At 36.6% G+C, this 24,698-nt stretch overlaps 1 long non-coding RNA gene across 4 annotated transcripts in view; it reads right to left on the reverse strand.

Moving 5' to 3' along the window:
• LINC02277 (long intergenic non-protein coding RNA 2277) overlaps positions 1–6,885 on the reverse strand; it is an 89,356-nt gene extending 82,471 nt beyond the window's left edge. For 2 of the 4 annotated variants that reach the window (XR_002957611.2, XR_001750745.1), the window contains exons 1-2: positions 5,509–6,102; positions 3,719–3,850 (exon numbers count right to left, since the gene is read on the reverse strand). This is a non-coding gene — a long non-coding RNA (long intergenic non-protein coding RNA 2277). The other 2 variants (XR_001750743.3, XR_001750744.3) reach the window with 2 other exon arrangements.
• Positions 6,886–24,698: the final 17,813 nt, after the last annotated feature.

Consider the following 24,698-nt stretch of genomic DNA (forward strand, 5'->3'; position numbering starts at 1 on the left):
CTTTTCTTGTTTTCCATTTGCTTGGTAGATCTTCCTCCATCCCTTTATTTTGAGCCTATGTGTGTCTCTGCACGTGAGATGAGTTTCCTGAATACAGCACACTGATGGGTCTTGAGTCTTTATCCAATTTGCCAGTCTGTGTCTTTTAATTGGAGCATTTAGCCCATTTACCTTTAAGGTTAATATTGTTATGTGTGAATTTGATCCTGTCATTATGAAGTTAGCTGGTTATTTTGCTCATTAGTTGATGCAGTTTCTTCCTAGCCTCCATGGTCTTTACAATTTGGAATGTTTTTGCAGTGGCTGGTACCGGTTGTTCCTTTCCATGTTTAGTGCTTCCTTCAGGAGCTCTTTTAGGGCAGGCCCGGTGGTGACAAAATCTCCCAGCATTTGCTTGTCTGTAAAGTATTTTATTTCTCCTTCACTTATGAAGCTTAGTTTGGCTGGATATGAAATTCTGGGTTGAAAATTCTTTTCTTTAAGAATGTTGAATATTGGCCCCCACTCGCTTCTGGCTTGTAGAGTTGCTGCCGAGAGATCAGCTGTTAGTCTGATGGGCTTCCCTTTGTGGGTAAGCCGACCTTTCTCTCTGGCTGCCCTTAACATTTTTTCCTTCATTTCAACTTTGGTGAATCTGACAATTATGTGTCTTGGAGTTGCTCTTCTCGAGGAGTATCTTTGTGGCATTCTTTATATTTCCTGAATTTGAATGTTGGCCTGCCTTGCTAGATTGGGGAAGTTCTGCTGGATAATATCCTGCAGAGTGTTTTCCAACTTGGTTCCATTCTCCCCGTCACTTTCAGGTACACCAATCAGACATAGATTTGGTCTTTTCACACAGTCCCATATTTCTTGGAGGCTTTGTTTGTTTCTTTTCGCTAAACTTCTCTTCTTGCTTCATTTCATTCATTTTGTGTTCCATCGCTGATACCCCTTCTTCCAGTTGATCGCATCGGCTCCTGAGGCTTCTGCATTTGTCACGTAGTTCTTGTGCCGTGGTGTTCAGCTCCATCAGGTCCTTTAAGGACTTCTCTGCATTGGTTATTCTAGTTAGCCATTCGTCTAATTTTTTTTCAAGGTTTTTAACTTCTTTGCCATTGGTTCGATCTTCCTCCTTTAGCTCGGAGTAGTTTGATCTTCTGAAGCCTTCTTTTCTCAACTCATCAAAGTCATTCTCTGTCCAGCTTTGTTCCATTGCTGGTGAGGAGCTGTGTTCCTTTGGAGGAGGAGAGGCACTCTGATTTTTAGAGTTTCCAGTTTTTCTGCTCTGTTTTTTCCCCATCTTTGTGGTTTTATCTACCTTTGGTCTTTGATGATGGTGATGTACAGATGGGTTTTTGGTGTGGATGTCCTTTCTGTTTGTTAGTTTTCCTTCTAACCGTCAGGACCCTCAGCTGCAGGTCTGTTGGAGTTTGCTGGAGGTCCACTCCAGACCCTGTTTGCCTGGGTATCAGCAGTGGTGGCTGCAGAAAAGCGGATATTGGTGAACCGCAAATGCTGCTGCCTGATCATTCCTCTGGAAGTTTTTTCTCAGAGGAGTACCCGGCTGTGTGAGGTGTCAGTCCGCCCCTACTGGGGGGTGCCTCCCAGTTAGGCTACTTGGAGGTCAGGGACCCACTTGAGGCGGCAGTCTGCCCGTTCTCAGATCTCAAGCTGCATGCTGGGAGAACCACTACTCTCTTCAAAGCTCAGTTGGAAACGCAGAAATCACCCGTCTTCTGCGTCACTCACACTGGGAGCTGTAGACTGGAGCTGTTCCTGTTCAGCCATCTTCCATCTTTCTTAATTTCCTGTATATCATGTACCCAGTGTTCCTTCTCCTTAGCATCCTGGTGTTTTAAATTGCTATCTCCATTTTCCTATATTCTTTGTCCTTATAGAATAGTCTATTTTATTAATTATTTACAATCTAGTATAAAAGTTAGCTCTTCCAAAAGACCTCACCTGATTAACCCTTTCATATAGATCTTTTATAAACTCTAAGCTCTCAGACACCAGGACAGTTTCCTTATAAAGTGAAAAAGAGCATATGACTTCATATTAGAAATGCATTAGGATAAATGGCCTAAAAGCATAATTGCCTTAAGGCAACTTATCAGTACCCTTCAGGGTTTGTTTCTACAGCATGAAACCAACAACAGCAGAGAATAATTTTTAACAGTATATACGGACAAATATTTTTCATCCTTACATTTTTGTGTGCATAAATAGCATTTCTTGAGATCAGAGCATTTTGCACTATCCCAAGGTTTACACTATGAAGATAAAATGTACAAGTAATTCCTGCTTATTTATCATATCTTTCTGGAAATTATTTTGTGAATAAGATTTTCAAGAGTGAATCAAAGTTGCCCATTGAAAGACTACCTTACCAATAGTGAACCTGACAAAGACTCCAGCATCAAATAAATCATAGATATAACTAACAGTACTTTGAAGACATAGTAAGAAGTTTAAAGTTTTTTAACATTAAAATAATATTTTAATTTAAACAATAAAATATAATTCATGTTCTATAAAATTATTTAAAATCTCTAAATAATACTCTAATCATTAAGGATTCTAAATGACATGGAAAATGTTTCTGAAAAACTGAATCTACTCTGCTGGATATAATATATTTAACAGTTATGTTTCAAGAAATTTGGCGGGTGGCTCCCATGCAGGGACAATGGCTAAGCCTTGGGCCTGGCAACACATTCCCTCCATGCTAAATAGCAAAAGGCCCTTAATTTGAACTCTGTTATGAGATCTATAATCTGTAGGTCAGATGGTGAAATGCAAAGATGAAAAGGCAAATGTTGTTCTTTCCAAATAGAAAAGAATACAGACTTTCCTATTTCCACCTGGGTGTACATTCTACCTTGTAGCTGTGCAAATGTAAGTAAGCTCTTTAAACTCTAAACTCTTGTCTCCATAGCTGCAAATTGAAAACAATTATACTTAATAATAACTAAATGAATATCAAAAATTAAATGAAATAAAGTGCATAATGTGCTTAGCAAGTATCAAGTATATGTAGTAAATATTCAGTAAAATCACTATTATGATATCATTATCATTATCATCACATAGGGTACACTCGCCCACTGACACAGTGTAGATTACCTAATACATGTAGTCCATTCCTACCTCACACCTAGAAGAACAATTAAGTGCTCTCCTCAATACTAGGGATATGATCTAATAGACTCACACTGGTCTCAAGAGACAAAGGGCCTGATGAGCTAACAGCAGAAGGAATGCTGACTCTCATAAATTTTGACAGATATTTTTCATATGAATTGACAGAAAACCTCCTTTAGTTACTGAGGAGTAATTTAAGCTATGTATCACTGGCCAACCACTATAATTAAAGTTAGATATCCTGAGTAAGATTTTTTTATGGCCTAATGATCAATTAATTATTTCTGCATGGGAAATTTTCCAAACTACGATAGTCTCAAAGATGCTCTAAGGGTTTAAACTATGAGGATTCAGTCTTTAATTTGTTCAAGTGTTGGAGCCAACACAAAAATGAGTCTAGTTTTAGGAATGTTTTACTTTGCCTACGGTTGGAACTATAGACTGCTATCTCTTCAATACAGAGTCTTACACTCCTTTATTTTAATAAAAGTATGAGAACTTTATCCTGTACTTGGTAAATATTTAAGACCTATGAATCTTCCCACCATCACTAACATAGAATAACAATACTGAAAGATTTGCCAGAAATTACCCAGGGTACCTCTCTGCTGCATCCTGAGAGGCCCGTGTAGAGCATGGCCTGCTGCATGCATGGTACAATTCTGCCGCTCTCTTGTTCCTCTGTGTTTATCCAATCAATCCAGACTATATTGTCTAGGCCTTCCTAGACAATAAAAGAATCACTTTTTAAAAATTGTGCTTTTGTTTAATGACGTATCCTATATTGAAAAATGCTATAAAAATGTTGTAAGAAAATCTTGTTGCATACTGTTTCATTCTGTCTCCCTTGCAACAACTATGGGGGAACTTCCTTTAGACTTCAAGGCCACGGCCTCCCCTCGAGCTGGTATATGTTATCATATGGACAATTTGAATCTTGCAACTTGTCCTGATTCCCTCTTGGTTTTGGCTCATTAGGAAATTCAAAATTGATGTGGTGTCCCACCTTCAGACACTGTGAGAATTTTATAGCACATATCTCTAGTTCTCTCTCTTATAGCCCCATTTTATTATTCTTCCTTATTTTCCTTTCACCTTGTCTTTTATATTTTTTCAGTCATTATGGCTTATGCAGTATACTTGTGCTTGTCTCTTTAGAACTTAGGAGAGGTATTTGTAAGAGTGTCATGATGTCTTTAAAAAAAGAAAAAAAGGCTCTCCAGGGAAATGTTTCCCAGATTCTCAAATGTATTTGCCAATGAACCTCCTCTAACAGTACAGAACCATTGACCCCAATTCCTGCACCAATTCTTACCAAGCTAAACATATCACTGGTCTACCTGGATTTACATTGCGAATGAGTGCTAGGTTCTCTTATGGTATGTACAGCTTGTAAGCTTTTTCTTCATCATCATTTTTACCACCAAGCCCTTGCCACTCCTATCAGGCTACCGCTGGGTGGCATTCTGCCTTGAATGGACAGATCATCTAAATAAAAAAACGTCATTACCTATCTTATTTCAACCACCTGAATATTTTCTGTTGCTTGGCTAGTACCAGCCAGATTTCAAGTAGCTATCAGGATGTTACCATAGATAACACAATACACACCTGGTCTTGCTGCACACATTACGCATTGTGCATTGAACTACCCTGTGCCTTGTGACAAATGGCTTGTAAAGGCCAATTAATTTTCTCAGCACCTATCTTATCTGGTTCCTGCTTTATCCTTCTACACAGGAATCAAATCCCCGCACAACTGGCACTAAAAACCTCTACCACCACCAAAATTCAGAAACATGAAATTGACCACCCAAGCGCTCCATTCAGAGATTATAACTGACATTTTAAAAACAGCCTATAGTTCCCTTATGTCAACACTAGATAGAGATTGGATTCCTGGACTGAATACAAAGATGACCTTTGTTAGAAAACTGAAAACAAAATGTAAAAAGCAACGAAGCAGAAGTGGATTGCTCCTATATATTCATATCTATGAAATGTATCCATATTTTCATATACGGTATAAATACATAGTTATAATTTTAAGGGCCCATCCTAATGTCAACAGTAAAGAGAAAGAATAGTAAGTTCATAATATTTCTTTTATTGTGTTTCCAAAGCTGTTGAGTAAGTTATAATGCCATAATTCTGGCAGAATTGTCTATTTTATATAAAATTTTTAAGATTTCCCCACAAAGAGCCAGGTTCATACAACATATTAATGTAATAAAAATGTCTCCTAGAAATAGGAGTGCTTTTTAAAGATACTACTAATCCACAAAAATTACTCAACATTTCATTTTCAGCCATAAAACATATTTACACATACTTATACAATACTAACTATGGAATTTAACCCAACAGTTTCCAATTACTTACATTAAGAGACACAAGAAATCACTACAAACTAAAACTAGCCCAATCCTTGAAGATAATTCTTAAAGTGTGGTCTACAGACCACCTGTTTCAGAGCTACCTAGGAAGTCTGCTTAGAGTGCAAATTCATGGGACATAGTCAGACTTCTAGAATTAGAATTTCTGGGGTTGGAACCCTGGAATCTGATTTCTTTTTAAGTAAGTTCCCTTGATTCTTGAGTGCAGTAAAGTTGAAGAATCACAGCACATGGAGAAGGCAAGTGAAATAAAAAAGTCAGACTTGTAGTGAGAGTCCTTGTAACAGGCACTGCATAGCACACAAGGAGTGCAACAAGTTACTGTAGTCCACATAGGCAGCTGGCAAAATGAGGTAGGGTATCCACAACTGCATCAATGCAACTGGGTTTGAAGCTTCACTACATGCTAGCTATGTGAATTACAAGGTTTTTCTTTTAACTCAATGACTTCTGCATTTGTAAAACAAGAATAATAATCTAACTTAGGTGTGGTTGTAAGGATTAAACAATTTAACACACATAAAGCACTTAGAGCAGTGATCTGGGAGAATATCACATAGGAAAGAATCATTCTAAAATGACTATGTCATTACCTATCAATACTACACTGCTAGAGGTAAGTAACCATAATTATCCATATTCTGGGCTATTAAAGCAAAACTGTGAGATGAAGTTCATCTTCGTATCGTCCCCTTCCTTTTGGATATCTTCCATTCTTAGTATAAAGATCTGCCCTTCCTAACCTATACACTGTGTTTGTTCTCACCCGCCCACAATGGTGGTTGTTACAATTTTACCCCACTGGAAATCATCTGTTGTATATTACATCATCTTATGACTTTGTGTTTCAATAATGGAGCTAAAATGATGTACTACGTTTTTAGAGGGACCGTTGCCAGGTATACATATCTAACGGATGTTTGAGGAGACTAATCCTTTCCCCCATAGTTTTCTAATGAACTAAAGAGTGTAATGGTGAAAAGTAAAGGAAGGTGAAAAAGATATTTCAGAGTAAGCATATCTCTTAGCAACCATCCACGAACCAGGCATTTCATACCTGCAAATAAAACCTTGCAAAGAACAGTACACCAAGAGAAAAGCTACTTATACCAGATTAATTTTACCATGAAGAGTTTATCTTTTATCAGCTTTCCCACTCTCATTCAACTCAGGGATTAGGCATACTTTTCCTTTCCTCCTGAATTTCACTCCTTCACTCTGAGTACATGATATTAAGAGTTACCAAGTAACATATATTTCACCTTTCCTGCTCTGCAACCTTAGAAGCTACCTGTGCTGCTCCCAGCTATTCCTCTTTTCCTTGAACCTCAGGGTAAAACATCTTCCTCCTTTTGAAAGTTGTTTCCACTTAGACTCTGAGTCCGATGTATTTTGATCTAACTTGGAGCTTTTTAAATTTAATTCCTTCTCTCTCTTCCTTGTCTTCAGATGACTCCTTCCCCTTATGCTATGTTCAATCTTAAAAATTCCCTTGATTTTTCAACGATTCATACCTTCTTTCCCACAGCTTTCCTTACCGTCTATCAGATTTTCAAATTCCCAACATCCTGTTTTTGCTTTTATCATTCTACACACACACACACACACACACACACACACACACACACACACACAAACCCCATGACACTTAAACTTGATTGGCAATGGCCACCACTGACTTTCACATTGCCAAACCCAACTGACTGAAAATTCCAGCATTTGACACTGTTCACTAGTGTTTCCTTCTAAAAACATTGTTCTCCCTTGACTTCTCTAACATCATCCAAAAATAAAGATATTTATTTCCCATCTCTTTTACTAGATCTTTTGACTCTGCTCATCCTTAAAATGTTTGTGCCCACCTGTCTTTTCACCTTACAATTCTTCCTTAATGTTTAAATTTAGTCTCATAAATTTACATCTATAAATGTATGACTCTCAAATCAGCACCTCTAGCATCAGTACTTCTGAACTCCACAACCAAATATCTAGTAACCTACTGTAATTTCTACCTTGATATCTTTTGTCCTGTGGGTCATATCTTGATAAAAGAAATTATCTATGTAATCACTCATGCCAGAAATCGGGGAATTATTTTTGAACCCTCATAATTCATCACTTCCCATGTCTCATCAGAGCACTAGGTCTCATCAGTACAAAGCCTGTACACTAGGTCTTGTCAGTACAAAGCCAGTACACTAGGTTTTGTCAGTACAAAGTCAGTATAAAGCACTCTCTACTTTATTGCCTTCCCGCCATCTGCGTGTGCTACCACTGCCTTCATAGGAAGCACATTGTCTCTTCACTTAGGACAGACAAGTTAAAAAAAATTTAAGGTAGCATGATAACTTTCATACAACTATAAAATAAACATGTGTCATAGATTTTATTTAACTAATTAATGAATGAGGGAGCAAGTAAGATGTTACAATGAGTTCAAAGGAGAAGTTAAAGTACCACACTTACATAGGTTGATAAGGGATGCTGAGAAGAATTTACCAATATATTCAAGCCTGGCTTTTTCCACAGTAGGGAGGAAAATTAATTTTCCATTCTCCAGACAATTCATTTGCACATCTATGGACAAGAGTCATTTGCATCGACATGATCTGCAATTTACAGAATTTTAAATAGCTGAAAGACAATGAAAGATGCAAAATCCATAGAATCAAATAACTCAGAAGGGTGTGCTCTGTCCTTTAGACAACATATATTTCGATTGAAGACACCTAGTACAGTTTTTTGTCTACTTCAAAGTCACAACTTTTTCTGAAAGACTTTCTCATCGTTTGTAAAACTAAAGTCTAATAAAATCTCTCCCCCGTCTCCCTACCAACACAAAATATCTAGCCTAGCTCTAACTGGCCATTCTGATCTCCTGTCTCACCACCCCACCCCACCCCACTTCACCCCCACTTTATATCAGTTAGAGAAATAACAAAATGCTCATTCTTTCCCTAATACACTTTGCTGTTTTATACTCATTTTATTTCACATGCCAGATTTTTCCTGGAATGTACTTTTGTCCAACTAATAAAGCCTCATTATTGTATCTTTTATGAATTTTTTTATTTTTAATTTTTATGGGTATATAGTATGTGTATATATTTGTGGAGTGCATGAGATGCTTTGATACAGGCATGTGGCCAGGCACGGTGGTTCACGCTTATAATCCCAGCACTTTGGGAGGCCAAGGTAGGCTGATCACCTGAGGTCAGGCATTCGAGACCAGTCTATCCAACATGGCAAAACCCCATCTCTACTAAAAATACAAAAAAAATTAGCCAGGTGTGGTGGCGGGTGCCTGTAATCCCAGCTACTTGGGAGGGGGAACAATATACAGGCAGGCAATGTGAGATGAGCACATCAAGGAGAATGGGGTATCCATCCCCTCAAGCATTTATCCTTCGTGTTACAAACAATCCAGTTATACTCTTTTAGTTTATTTTAAAATGTACAATTAAATTATTATTGACTATAGTCACACTGTGCCATCAAATATTAGGTCTTACTCATTCTATTTTTTGCACCCATTAACCATCCCCACCACTCCCCCAAGTCCCCATTCCCCTGCCCAGCTTCTAGTAATGATCCTTCTACACTCTTTACTCATGTGTTCAATTGTTTTGACTTTTAGATTCCACAAGTAAGTGAGAATACATGATATTTGTCTTTTGTGCCTGGCTTATTTCACTTAACACAATGATCTCCAGTTCCATCTATGTTGTTGCAAATGACAGGATCTCATTCTTTTTTATGGATGAATAGTACTCCATTGTGTATAAATACCAGATTTTCTTTATCCATTCATCTGTTGATGTTCACTTAGGTAGTCTCCAAATCATGGCTATTGTGAACAGTGCTGCAATAAACATGGGGGTACAGATATCTCTTCAATATACTCATTTCCTTTCTTTTGGGTATATACCTAGCAGTGGGATTGCTGGATCATACAGTAGCTCAATTTTTAGTTTTTTGAGGAACCGCCAAACTGTTTTCCATAGTGGTTATACTAATTTGCATTTCCACAAAAAGTGTACACGGGTTCTCTTTTCTCCACATCTCACCAACATTTGTTATTGCCTGACTTTTAGTTATAAGCCATTTTAACTGGGGTGAGAGGCTATCTCATTTTAATTTTGATTTGCATTTCTCTGATGATCAATTATGTTGGGCACCTTTTCATATGCCTGTTTGCCATTTGTGGTTTGAAAACTGACTATTCACATCTTTTGCCCATTTTTTGATAAGATTATTAATTGTTTTCCTATGGAGTTGTTTGAGCCCTTTGTATATTCTGACTATTAGTCCCTTGTCAAATGGGGTCAAATGGGTAGTTTGCAAATATTTTCTCCGATTCTGTGGATTGTCTTCTCACTTTGTTGATTGTTTTCATTTCTATGCAGAAGGTTTTTAACTTGAGATGATCCCTTTTGTCCATTTTGCTTTGGTCGTCTTCACTGGTGTGATATTAGTCAAGAAAGTTTTGCCCAGACCAATGTTCTAGAGAGTTTCCCCAATGTTTTCTTGTAGTAGTTTAATAGTTTGAGGTCTTAGATTTAAGTATTTAATCCATTTTGATTTGATTTTTGCATATGGTGAGAGAGAGCGGTCTAGTTTAATTCTTTTGTATATGGCTATCCAGTTTTCCCAGCACCATTTATTGAAGAGACTGTCTTTTCTCCAGTGTATGTTCTTGGCAACTTTGTTGAAAATAAGTTCACTGTAGGTGTGTGGACTTTTGTTTCTTGGTTCTCTCTTCTGTTTCATTGGTCTGTGTGTCTGTTTTTATGCCAGTACCGTGCTATTTTGGTTACTACCACTCTGTAGTATAATTTAAAGTCAGGTAATGTGAATCCTCTGGTTTTGTTCTTTTCACTTAAGATAGTTTTGGCTAGTCTAGTTCTGTTGTGGTTCCACATAAATTTTATAATTTTTTTCTATTTCTGTGAAGAATATCATTGGTATTTAGATAGCGATTGGATTGAATCGGTAGATTGCTTTGGGTAGTGTGAACATTTTAACAATGTCGATTTTTCCAATTCATGAACATGGAATATCTTTCCATTTCCTGGTGTCTTCTTCAATCTGACTACTTACAAAGCCAAGTTCAGAGGCCATATTTTTCAGGAAGACTCCAGTCTCTCCAAATAATCATTTCCTAACAATGCCAATTATTCACTTTCATATCTTACTTTTCTAACAGACTGAGAGCTGCCTAGGGACAGAGACTGAAAAGGTTTATTGTATGGTGAGTAACAACAGAGACTTTACAATCAGATCTGGATTCAAATTCTGAATCCATCACCTACTAGTTGAGTGGCACGGGCAAGTTACTTAATCTCAATTTGCCTAAATTTCTTCCCCTGGAAGTGAAAGCATTATTGTTCAGAATATTGGTTTGAATTGGAACAACTGTTTGAATGTCTTTCACTCTTTACAATTACTCTCCTCCAAGGCAAAACACTTATCCTCGTTCCCTCAATTTCTTAATCTGTAAAACGCAGTTGATAATAATACCTCACAGAGTTCCTAAGATACAATATATGTAAAGCAGTGTGGTGATTAACCTTATGTGTCAACTTGGCTAGGCCGTAGTACCTAGATATTTTGTTAAACACCAGTCTACCTATTACTATGCAATCTGTCTTTGGATAAAATTAACATTTAAATCAGTAGCCTTTTAGTGAAAGCAGATTACCCTCCATGGCAAGAGTGGCCACATCCAATCAATTCAAGACCAGAAGAGCAAAAGATTTAATCCTCCTGCTTCCCCCACAGAGGAAGAGGGATTTCTGCCTTTGGACTTGAGCTGTAATGTCAACTCTTTTCTAGGTCTCCAGCCTGCTTCTTTCTCTGCAGATTTCAGACTTGCCAATTTCCATGACCTCATAAGCCAATTTTTAAAAATAAATTTCCCTCTCCCTCTCTTTCTCTAACTCTATCTTAATACACACACATACATGCACACACACACTGTCATCCTTCAATATCCATGAGGAATTGATTTCAGGACCTCTCACAGATACCAAAATCTGCAAGTACTCAAGTCTCTGATATTAAATGATACAGCATTCATATAACCTATGCATATCTTCTTGTATACTTTAAATCATCTCTATATTACTTATAATGCCTTAAAAATGTAAATGCTGTGTAAATCATTGTTATGCTTTATTGTTTAGGAAATGACAAAAAAAACTACGCATGTTCAGTATAGACACAATTTTTTAAAAAATATTTTCAGTGTGAGGTTGGTTGAATGCATGGATGCAGAATCCATGTAGGGCCAACTACACACATACACACACACACACACACACACACACCCACATAGGACCAACTACATACACACACACACACACATACATTCAGTTGGTTGTTTATCTAAATAACTATTTTATACAATCAGTCATGCAATATCTAGTGCATTGGAAGCACTTAATACATGTAATTTTTATTATTTGAGCTTTCCAGAATAAATGAATTAATGTATACAAAACACAGCACGTCTGGAACATGAGTCAATAGATATTATATATTCATAGTTCTTTATCATTTTTTATTTCCAGGGCCTAAAATAGTACTTAGTATAATTAATTATTGGAAGTTTGTTCACTGAGCAAATAGATGAATGAAAAAAATAAAATAGGCAAAATACAACAGTCACTTTTTTAAAGCTCACATATATAGTATATATTTTCGTGTTTATTATATGGCATTTAATGTTAAATACTAAAGGTTTGTGTATTAGTCCATTCTCACACTGCTATAAAGATACTACTTGAGACTGTAATTTATAAAGAAAGGAGGTTTAATTGATTCACAGTTCTGCATGGCTGGGAGGCCTCAGGAAACTTACAATCTTGGTGGAAGGGGAAGCAGGCACATCTTACATGGCAGCAGGAGAGAGACAAGAGAGTAAGAGAGAGCAGGAAAAATTACCACTTATAAACCATCAGATCTCGTGAGAATTCACTCACTATTACTAAAACAGCATGGTGGAAATCGCTGTTCCAATCACTTCCCTCCCTCAACACATGGGGATTACACTTCAAGATGAGATTTGTGTGGGGACACAGAGCCAAATCATATCAGTTTTATTCAGCATATTCTCCCTGTGGAGTATAAGAAACTCAAAGAGATGAAGTGCTTGCAGAGAGGTCAAAAGGTCGATTGTACTTTGTAAAGAGGACTGGGCTGGGGTTAGAAATAAGCTAGGCAAGTACATTTTATTTTAATTATTTTTTTATTGTAGATTCCAGGGGTACATGTGCAGGTTTTTTTACGTGGTTATATTGCATAATGCTGGAGTTTGGGCTTCCAGTGAACCCATCCCCCAAATAGTGAACAATGTAACCCATAGGTACTTTTTCAATACCTCTTGCCCCTCTCATCCCCTTTATGGATTTCCCAGTGTCTATTATTTCCATCTTTATGTCCACATATACCCATTGTTTAGCTCCCACTAATAAATGAGAACATGTGGTATTTGATTTTGTTTCTGAATAAAAAATATTTATATATTGGCTCTAACTCCATCCATATTTCTGTGAATGACATGAATTGAATAAAAATACATGAATATTAATGAAAGATTTTATTTTCTGTGTCCATGCAGTATTCCATGGCGTATATATACACCACATTCTCCTTATCCAATCCATCACTGATGGATACTTAACTTGATTCCATGACTCCACTATTGTGAACAGCCCTGTAATAAATATGCAAGTGCAGGTGTCTTTTTGTAAAATTATTTATTTTCCTTTGGGTATATATAGTGGATTGCTGGGTCAAGTGGCAGTTCTATTTTTAGTTCTTTGAGAAACTTTCATACTGTTTTACACAGGGATTGAACTAACTTACATTCCCTCCAAAAGTGTGTACGTGCTCCCTTTTCTCCATATCCTCGCCAATATCCGTTTATTTTTTGACTTTTTAATAATAGCCATTCTGACTGATGTGGGATGGTATCTTATGATGTTAATTTACATTTATCTAATAATTAGCGATTTTTTTCATACATTTGTTGGCCACCTGTATGTCTTTTTTGAGAAGTATTTGTTCATGTACTTTGCCCATTTGTAATGAGGTTATTTGTTTTGTTCTTGGTTTTTTTATGTTCTTTATAGCCTCTGGATATTAGTTCTTTGTTAGATGCATAGTTTGCAAATATTTTCTCCCATTCTGCAGGTTGTCTGTTTATTCTGTTGTTTATTTTGCTGTATGGAAGCTCTTTAGTTTAATTAAGCCCCATTTGTTATTTTTGTTTTTGTTGTATTTGCTTTTGAGGTCTTAGTCATAAATTATTTGCCTAGGACACTGTGTAGAATTTTGCCTAGGTTTTCTTCTAGGATTATAGTTTCAGGTCTTACATTTAAGTCCTTAATCCACGTTGAGTTATTTTTTGTATATAGTGAAAGGTAGGGATCTCATTTTGATCTTCTGCTTGTGGCTAGTCACTTTTCCCAGCACTGTTCATTGAATAGGGTATCCATTCCCCATTGTTTATTTTTTGTCAATTTTGTCAAAGATCAGTTGGTTGTAACTATGGCTTTATTTCTGGGTTCTCTACCCTGTTACATTGATCTATGTGTCCATTTTTGTATCAATATCATGTTGCTTTGGTTACTATGGCCTTGTAGTATATATAGTTTGAAGTCAGATAATGTCATGCCTCCAGCTTTATTATTTTTGCTTAGGATCGCTTTGGGCATTCAGGCTATTTTTCAATTCCATATGAATTTTACAATTGTTTTTTCTAATTTTGTCAAAAATGATATGGTAATTTGATAGGAATTGTATGCAATCTGTAGATTTGGGCAGTATAGTTCATTTTAATGATATTGATTCTCCCTACCCATGAACATGGGAGGTTTTTCCAATTATTTTTGTCATGTACGATGTCTTTCAACTGTGTTTTGTAGTTCTTCTTGTAGAGGTCTTTCACCTCCCTGGTTAAATGTATTCCAATGTAGATCTGCCAATTTCTTCTTCTAGCCATGGCCCTCTGTTACGCAGGAAGTATATAGTTCTTTTGGGATATGCTTGATCTCAACATTGGTAACCTCCGTGTTCTATATCTCCTTATATTAATATCAATTATTCCCAATCCTTACACTATCTACCTCTTAATTTAAGTTCTTCACCATTTGTAGATACTTGCTCCCTAAAGAGAACTCTCAGGTTATCTGCTTCACCGATACTGTGGTTCCGAAATCTGAGTGAATCCGAGAATCACCTAGAACCACTTGCTAAAAATAAAATTTCTTGAGTTCCATGTCTGGAGATTCTATATTTTCAATAAATACTCAAGATAATTCCAATGGATCTGATCCTAGAACTAGAATTTTAAAACTACTTCTAAGGGAAAGATTCTACTTTGACTACTTTTTCATTTTGTCACTGATATTGTTAGCTATATATTTATTTCCACTCTTTTTTCTTACTGGTGATAGACAAGTAAACTTCAGATAAGTTCTGCAATTTGAGTTACAAAGCCCAAGTTTTCTGGTTGTAAAATTATAATACATATGTCTTCAGGAGCCCAAACACATTTTTCTCTGAAATGTTTCCGTGTTGAAACAACTGCAGGACATTGAAAAAGGCATCAAAGAAAACTAGCTAAAAATCTGCGTGAGATTTCTTTTTTTCAACTTAATACAGAAAAGCTATCTGCCCATTAAACTTTGTGAATGTATTAAAACTATCTGAGTCACTCAATAGCTACTAGAACTGATAGCCCAGAAAATTTTTAATAATTTTAACTACAAACTGCACAAGAAGATAGCAATCAGTTTAAGTGGGATAGCAGAGGAGGACAATGGTCTTGGAAAATGACATGAATTTTGGTCTGACAAGTAATAGACAAAGTTTGTTTCTGTGTAAACATTAAGACCAAGTTTTTTGTTGTTGTTGTTTTTTCAGACGAAGTCTCACTCTGTTGCCTAAGCTGAAGTGCAGTGGCGCGATCTCTACTCACTGCAACCTCCGCCTCCCGGGATCAAGCGATTCTCCTGCCTTAGCCCCCCGAGTAGCTGGGACTGCAGACATGCGCCACTATCCCTGGCTAATTTTTGTATTTTTAGTAGAGATGGAGTTTTATTATGTTGGCCAGGTTAGTCTTGAACTCCTGACCTCGTGATTTGCCCACCTCGGCCTCCCAAAGTGCTGGGATTACAGGAATGAACCACCGTGCCCGGCCAGGACCAAGTTTTAAAATAGAAAGTCATGAGTGATTCTCTAAGTCACAATAACTTTAGATTCAGAAGGAATGTGCTGTAATAGTGATGTAAACTAGGATAATTACCCTAACGCTATTGTGTCCAAGATTCAGTGGAGGCATAGAAACACATCTTTAGCAGTTAAGTAGTCAGTAAGATTGTGCTGCTTTGTGAAGGTACCATCATGACCCAAATTTTATTCAGTCTCTGAGAAGACAAAACCAGTCTGTCCAATGACAAATACAATCACAAACCAAAACTATGTAGGCCTGGGCACTAGCCAAAACAAATTTTCTGATTCGCCATATGGACATTCATTTTAGGCACATAAACAAAATGCTTCTCAAATGCCTTTATCATGTCAGGCTAACAGAAGCCTTTCTAAGCATCTATTGAGTCCCAACAAATCACTGGCAATATTTTCCAAAGGCTGGTCATGTGTTCTCAGCTGATTCCAGGGTCTTGTGAATAATGCCTTTCATGATGTTTGTACAGCTTTGAGATCAAAAGAATCCATGGAACTTAAAAAGCTAGGTTCAAATTCTGGCTCATCTGTTACTAGCTGTGTGATTTCGATCATGGGTACTTATGATAATTTAAAGTTTTATGTTAAATTTAAATATTTTAAAACTATGATGAATATAATTTATGTGAAACATTGGTCTTGAAAAATGGAAAACTGGTGTGACAACTCATTGTAATAATGGGAGACATTTTACCACTATTTAAATACAAAAGCTGATTTAAGTTTAAATTTTAAAAAAATAGTAATAATAATGCTAGTTGAGCATGTATAATCTGAAAATGTAATATCTGAAATGCTTCAAAATCTGAAACCTTTTGAGTAGTGACATGACACCACAAGTGGAAATTTCTACATATGACCTCATGTGAGGGATCACATTTAAAATACAGTCAAAACTTCTTTCATGCACAAAATTATTAAAAATATTATATCAAATTACCTTCAGGCTATGTATATAAGGTGCATATAAAATGTAAATGAATTGACTGTTTAGACTTGGATCTCATCGTCAAGATATCTCATTATTTATATGCAAATATTGCAAAATCTGAAAAAAACCTGAAAAAAATCTGAAACCCAAAACACTTCTTGTCCTAAGCATTTCAGATAAAGGATATTCAACTTGTACAACACATGAGATAAGATTGTTATACTTGCGGCCTCTAATACTATGGCTTATCTTATAAGTAGATGTAGGATTTCAAGAATAGTATGTGTGGAAATATCTGAAGCATAATGGATTCTTAAAAATTACATACATATGTATCATACTTAGGCTCTATAAATAAGTTTGTATTGCTCAAATCTGCAGTAAAGAATTCAACCTTGCCCAAAGAAAGGCCTGGCTTTTGCCTTCAATTTTTGGGATGTAATGTATGTCATAACTGAGAGAAGTATCTTTGCTTGGGGTAGGGGCTGGCCACACCCTGAATTTTACACCCTAAAATATGGTTGTCTTTGGAGTGTGAAATTTGGGTCATGCATCTGTCAACCTGGCAACTGAAATCAAACACAAGGGCAATGAATAAATCAGTCATGCCTATGTAATGAAGCCCTAGTAAAAACTCTGCACACTAAGGCTTGGGTGGGCTTCCCTGGTTAACAGTACTCTGTGCATATGGTCACACATCAATGCTAAGAGAGTAACACATCCTGAAGACACCAGAGGTTTCACATCTATAACTGTCCCAGACTTTGCCCTATTTGTCTCTTCCTTTGGCTGAATTTGATTTGTGTCCTTTATCTGTAATAACCCATAATCATGAGTATAATAGCTTTCAATGAGTTCTGTGAGTAATTCTGGTGAATTCAAAACTGAGGGTGGTTTTGGGAGTTCCCCAGAGATGCAATTGGTGTCAGAAGTAAGGACAGTCTTGGGGACTGTATCCTTAAAGCTCACATTTTGCTAACTCTGAGTAAAATGATATTGTATCATTTAAGTTCATGTAAATGACAACCCTCGACACAAACTTTACCATTTGTTGTAAAGCCTTAAACAAAGATAAAATAAGTGAATTACTGAACATTTCTTAAACATTACTATTCTACCAATTATACATTTTTATTATAAGTTAACCAATAAAAAGATAAACCTCTAATAACAATCTTTGGTTGGCTGAAGATATGTTTATTTAATTGTGTCTGAAGGCCATTCCCATAGGATCAATCCAAATATTCAAGTTTTTGCATAATTAAAAAAGAGTTAAGCCAACAGCAAAATTTTGTCTTTCTATAGAATCATGATGAATTAGTCAAAGTTGCCATATCCAGGCCACAGTCTGTGACACCTCGCACAATTTTTATATTCAGGAAACTACATCCTATCTACTTCTTTTCTGTATTTGGAAAGCATTTATATCCCACCAAGTCAAGCTTCACAGTCTATATAATGTCCTGGAACTATCTAGAGGGGTAACAAGCTAAAAGACCAGATGATTACTACAGTTTTTTTTTTTTTATTTTCGGTACAAAGATTGTTGAAGTTTTATTAAATTACAATCAATGCTGTAGCATTTCTCTAGAGTAGTGGTACTCAAATGAGTGTGGTTTTTCCCCCAAGGACATTTGGCAAATCTAGAGATATTTTTGGTTGTAAAAATTAGGTGGTGGGTTCTACTGTCATCCAGTGGATAGAGGCCTGAGATGCCACTAAACATTTACAATGCACCAGATCACCCCTCCACAACGAAGAATTGTCCAGCCCCAAATGTCAGTAATGCTAGGTTTGAGAAACCTTGCTCTTAAGATAAGTCTTAGTTTCAAACTGAACTTTCATCGCCAAGATTAGTACAAAGGAATTTTATCATGGTTCTTTCTGAATATATCACTCTTCCCTTATTTAAAGGGGGCAATTTTATCTACAGACCCAAATCAAATATTCTTCCTTATTTTAAATAAAATTCTGAAGTATTTAAGCTTCACAGGGGCTACACATCAGTATCTGCTGAGAAAATTGAAACTAGATTTCTTGGCTCGGGCTCAGTGGCTCTCGCCTGTAACCCCAACACTTTGGGAGGCCAATGCAGGTGGATTATATATATATATATATATATATATATATATATATGCAGCCAAATTTGGCCCATCAAATCCCAGAGGAGCTGGGACCATTAATTTTTTGGTTACAAAAATAAATTGAAGTCTGATAGGACTCCACAGGATAAAATGCTTGACCTCTCCTCTTTGGAGGTATTGTCCCTGGTTCTGTTATAAATGTACTTTATACAGAGAAGTGTCATCAGTAACTTTTCCTTCTTATGGATATTGTCAGGAGAATATTTAGCCACTACTTTGGATTCTATAACTAGAATTGTATATATTAACATAATGGTCAGTAAAGACAATTAAGAAAATCAGACAAGGGCTCATGACATGCTCAACTCTGCCAGTGTTGAAGCCCTTCAAAAAGAATTCCCAAGTGAGCTTATTAGACATGGGTGCAATAACTCAGCCTTGAAGTATACTTCTGCTAATATTTCTTACTCAAGCACTTCAGACACAGCTCAGTACTGATGAGTATCTAGACAGCTCACTTGTGTCAGGCTTCCTACCATCTGATTAAGATCCTATAAATGAGTCATATTTCATAAGCAGTGGCCATATCCAGTACTGGGCAGCCATAGAAAATAAACTAATCATCCAGAGGCCAGCTGTTCCATAAAGCTATAAGAAGCAGACAGTACTCATTGAAAACTACTGCTGTTGATCTTCAGTATATGGTCAACTGCAGACACACAATATCAGCTTGAAAAGAATATGAGCTATCATCTAATTCAGCCACCAGATGTTCAAATATTCACTACATGAACCAGCTCAGTGGTCCCAGTTCTGGCTATGTGGCAGATTTTGTTTTTGTTTTGTTTTTATTTTTAAAGATTTACCTTATTTTTAATTGATGAATAATTTTGCATCTTTATGGAGCACAAGGTAATATTTTGGTACATGCATGCATTGTGAAATGATCAAATCAGACTAATTTACATATCTATTATCTCAAATACGTATGATTTATTTCTGGTGAGAACATTTAAAATCTATTTTTTAGCCATTTTTAAATATAGAATACATTATTATTAACTATAGTCACCATGCTGTGTAATCACCTGAACCTATTCCACCTAACTGAAACTTTGTACCTTTTGATACACATTCTCCAGCCTCACCAGCTCTGCTGCACTAAAAATCTCCAGAGGTGGTAGAATATCTAGCTTAAGGCTGCACTTTCTATCTTTAGGCAGCTTTTTAAAATGCCTCATTATATAGTCATAAAATGGTTCTGCACAATTTCCAATCATTGGTAGATGTTCAATCACCTGAGGCCTGTTCTGTTTTCCTTTCTCTCAACCAAATGTTGCCAATCTTTCCACTATTCAATATGTGACATAATATTGAGTCAAGTTCTTAACATCTTCTTGGTCTCCCATGAATGTTTTCTAGTTAGAGTATTATAGCCCAGAAGAAATGAACATTCTAGTACAGAGTGGGGCAGGATAGGCACCTCCCTCACACTTCTATTAGCACAACCCAGCTGTTCCATTTAGTTATCACATTGACCTTACCTTAGCTACAGCTGAATGTCTCTTTGCAATCATTTTACATTTTCTTCTTTCCCATTTCACAATGCACACTAGTCAAAGTCTTTAACATTCTATTTAAGTCCCACCTCCAATCCCTTTCTCTTAGCTGAGGGCACGGTTTTCACAATCTGTGGAGAAAATACATGTATCCCAATCCACCAAATTAAAATACCCTATCCTAATCCACCCAGTTAACATCTGAGCACCACAATGAGTATCAAATTACAAAATCAGAAACACACATATGAGAGACCTTACCTAACAGCAAGTTTTATTAACAATGTCAAGCACATAAGCAATCAAGAGGCACAGACAAAGGGAGAAATCAAGAACATCCTGCGTGATTTCTCAGGTCCTTTCTTTCCACATTGGACAGGAGTCATCTGGCCGAGAAGAATAGATGAGGTCTCTAAGTGAGGCTTGGTGGTCACTTTCCACATTTGGGGGAATATGATTACAAACCATTTCTATTTTATGCCCTCAGAGAGTTGTAGAACATATGCGATAGTTTTCATGCCTTACAAATCCGTAAACTATAGATGTATTTATTATAAGTAATCTGAAGTCAGAGACAACCTGTAAAGGACATTCCACAGGTAAGAACTCTTCTCCTAACAAATGTTAGTCTATTTACCCAAAATATAGTTACCATGTTTACATGGAGATTTGACTGGCTCAAGAGCCTTCTTTGCTTTCCCTCAAAAGCATCACTCTTGGTAATCAGGGCAGAAATGAATCATAGGTCTACAGCTTTAACTCTATCCTCCCCAAAATCTATACTTTTCCATATTTGTTCTTGTCATAAGGGAAGAAGTCCTGCTTTACACTAATCAGGTGCTCTGAATACAATTCCCTCAGCTATTCGCCTTCATTATACCTTCTGATATAATTTTGTTTTCATTTTTATTATGTGCTCTTTCTCTTTTACTGTGCCCTCTGATATAGCTTTAATGTATTCCTACCTACAAACATATTTTCCTTACCATATAAATATATTAATTATCTCTCGCTTAAAAATGATTCCTTAATGGTTATTATTCCAGAGACATCTAACATCTCTCTGTCTTTACTATTACAACTAAAATTGTTGATACTTGCTTAGACCTAAATGTGACTGTTATCCCTAATATGGAACATTTATTTATGTGTTACTTAAACCACAGAAGACATTTTTAACTGCCTACTGAATACAGTCATCCCTCAGTATCCTTGGGAGATTGGTTCCAGAACCCCATGGAAATGAAAATCCATGAATGCTCAAGTCCCTCAAATAAAATGGTGTAGTATTTGCATATAACCTAAGCACATCCTCCCCTATACTTTAAGTCATCTCTAAATTACTTACACCTAACACAATGTAATGCTATGTAATAGCTGTTCTACTCTGTTTTTTACTTGTATTATTTTTATTGACAATGAGTACATGTCAAAGGAGGTGGCCACTTGATTCAAGGGAGTTCTCATAGAGAAGATACTGGCTGAACTAAGAGTTGAAGGATAAATGGGATCACATAAGTTGGAGATAATGTTGACAAAAGCATTTAAAATAAGAAAAATAAGACTTTTAGTTCTAACAAGATTTCTCTCTGTTTTACCATGCTAAGTACAACGATAAACACTGGAAATAAAATGAGACAACCAAAAGATAACTTTGAAAGGTAGAGAGTGAAAGGCAAACTGGTTAGCCACCCCAGGACTAAAGGAAAAACACAGTGGCAGAGCATCTCTTACCCCCACCCAACTGAAGAAGGTGATGTGATGCAAGCCCAATGTTTCCCAACTTCCCACATAGCAACAGAAGGCAGCCCAGGTAGGGTCCTTCCTCCCCTGGATGGAAAAAGAGTTCTACCCACAAGACCAGGCAAGTCCTGCAGGCCCCACCCCAGCCCCAGCAGTGCAGATCAATCAGAAGCCCCAGTGATAATGAGGAGCCAGAGGAAGCATTCTCTGTCCAATCTACACACACACATTTCCCTACCTAGAAACAGTACTGAAACTGACAAGGGGGAATCCTGCTACAGAATTGGCTAGCCCAGAAGCCTCTTTGTCCCCAGAGGCCTCCTCACACAATAAGAGACATAGGGTGGATGTACCCATATGGGAAGCTTCTTCTTTTTGGTGGAAATGAAACTTCCCTCCCCAGCTTATAGGTTCCAGGCAGCCTGACCAAGGGATGCTCCTTCTGCCCCGTCAGATGGCACTAGTAGGAAACAGTAGGAGTCTCAGGTAAATTAAGCAGACCAAAATAACACCACAAAGGCTCTGATAATTAAATTTTCATTGGAACCACTGTCCACAAAAGATGGCCAAGACCTGTCTGCTAAAACTAAGCATGTCTGCTAAAATCAAAAATTTAAATAGGACCCAGTGTGTCCTAACATACTAATAGCAAAATGTCCAGGATACAAATGACTAAAAGACAATGAACAAAGAAGAGGCCTGGGAGTATGAAAACCATTGTCAAGTACAGCAAGAATAGAAAAAGGATATCACAAGAAAGAAAGTATCCAGGTAATAATAATGAGAGCTAAAGCCACATTTGTTGCTGATAGTGTACTAGACACTGTTCTAGGAACTTAAAATGAATGAACTCTTCTGTTAAAACCATTCTATTGATTAGGTATTCTCTTATTATTTCTGTTTTTGCATGGATAAACTGAGGCATAGGGAGGTTAATTAACTTGAACTAGCCAAACAGCTCATAAGTGATGGAATCAGGATTTACAAACTTTCAGTCATACTCTCAGCTTCCACTCTATACTTAGAGTGACATAAAGTAGGATAGAGTAGATTGTGAATGGCCATGACTGTCTTTTTAAGGGATCTAGATTGTATTTTGTAGGCAAATGACTACATGAGCAAATCTGTGTGTTAAAAAAAAATAACTCTGGAAATAACAAAAAGGATTAATTAGAAGAAGAAACACTAAAATAGAAAAAGCAGATAATGGCCATAAGTAAGCAAAGAAAAGGATATTAAGAATCTAAACTAAACAAGTAACAATATCACTGAGGAGAGGCTATTAACAGGGATAAAACAAAACTTTAACAGGAAGACATACTAACTCTAAACATTTATACAGCTAATATCAAAGGTTCAAGACACCTGAAGCAAAAACTGATAGAACTTCAAGGTGAAATAGATGAATACATATTATAGTCAAGAATTTTTTTTTTTTTTTTTGAGACGGAGTCTCGCTCTGTTGCCCAGGCTGGAGTGCAGTGGCACGATCTCGGCTCACTGCAACCTGCGCCTCCTGGGTTCAGGCCATTCTCCTGCCTCAGCCTCCCGAGCAGCTGGGACTACAGGCGCCTGCCACCATGCCCGGCTAATTTTTTGTGTGTGTGTATTTTTAATAGAGATGGGGTTTTACCATGTTAGCCAGGATGGTCTCGATCTCCTGACCTTATGATCTGCCCGCCTCAGCCTCCCAAAGTGCTGGGATTACAGGCATGAGCCACCGTGCCCGGCCTATAGTCAAGGATTTCAACACACCTCTCTCAATGATCTATAGAGCAGGTGGATAGAAGTCAGTAATGATATAGAAGAACTGAACAACCCTATCAACCAATTGTTGATTCTAAAGTTGATATTTATAAAACCTTTCAACCAAAACCAGCAGAATATTTTAGAACACAGAGCACTTACCAAGAGAGGTCACGAGTTAAACCATAAAACAAGTCTCAATAAGTTAAAAAGGTACAAATTAGACAAGTATTTTATGACAAAGAAGTAATTAAATGGAAAACTAATAGCAAAAAGAAATATAGAAAACCCCAAAATATTCTGGAATAAAATATACCCTCTTAAGTAACACATCTGTCAAAGAATAAATCAAACACACAATTACCAACTCTTAACTGAATGAAAATGAAAATACAAAGAATTGGAATGTGTAGAATACAAATAAAACATGCCCAAAGAAAAATTAAGACCTATATTAGAAAAGAAGTAAATATTAAATTATTAACCACAGATTTACCTGAAGAAATTATAAAAAGAGGACATAAGTAGAAGTAAGTAGAAAAATAGAAATAATAAAGAGTGGAAGTTAATCAATAAGGGAAAAAATAAATAGCAAGACCAATAAAACCAAAAGCCAGTTCTTTGACAAGATCAATAAAACTAGTAAATTTCAACCCATACTAATTTGGGAAGAAAGAGAGACAGAAAGGCAGAGACAGAGAAAATAGAAGTTACCAATATTTATCCATATAAGATATGAATAATTATACCATAACTAGAAATAAAACATCATTACAGATCCTATAGACGTAAGAAGGATAAAAGGAAATAACAAACAACACAAAAACCCTATTTTTATTAAAGAAATCAAATTTTTAGTTAA

Source organism: Homo sapiens, chromosome 14 (assembly GCF_000001405.40).
Source record: "Homo sapiens chromosome 14, GRCh38.p14 Primary Assembly".
Classification (NCBI taxonomy): Eukaryota; Metazoa; Chordata; class Mammalia; order Primates; family Hominidae; genus Homo; species Homo sapiens.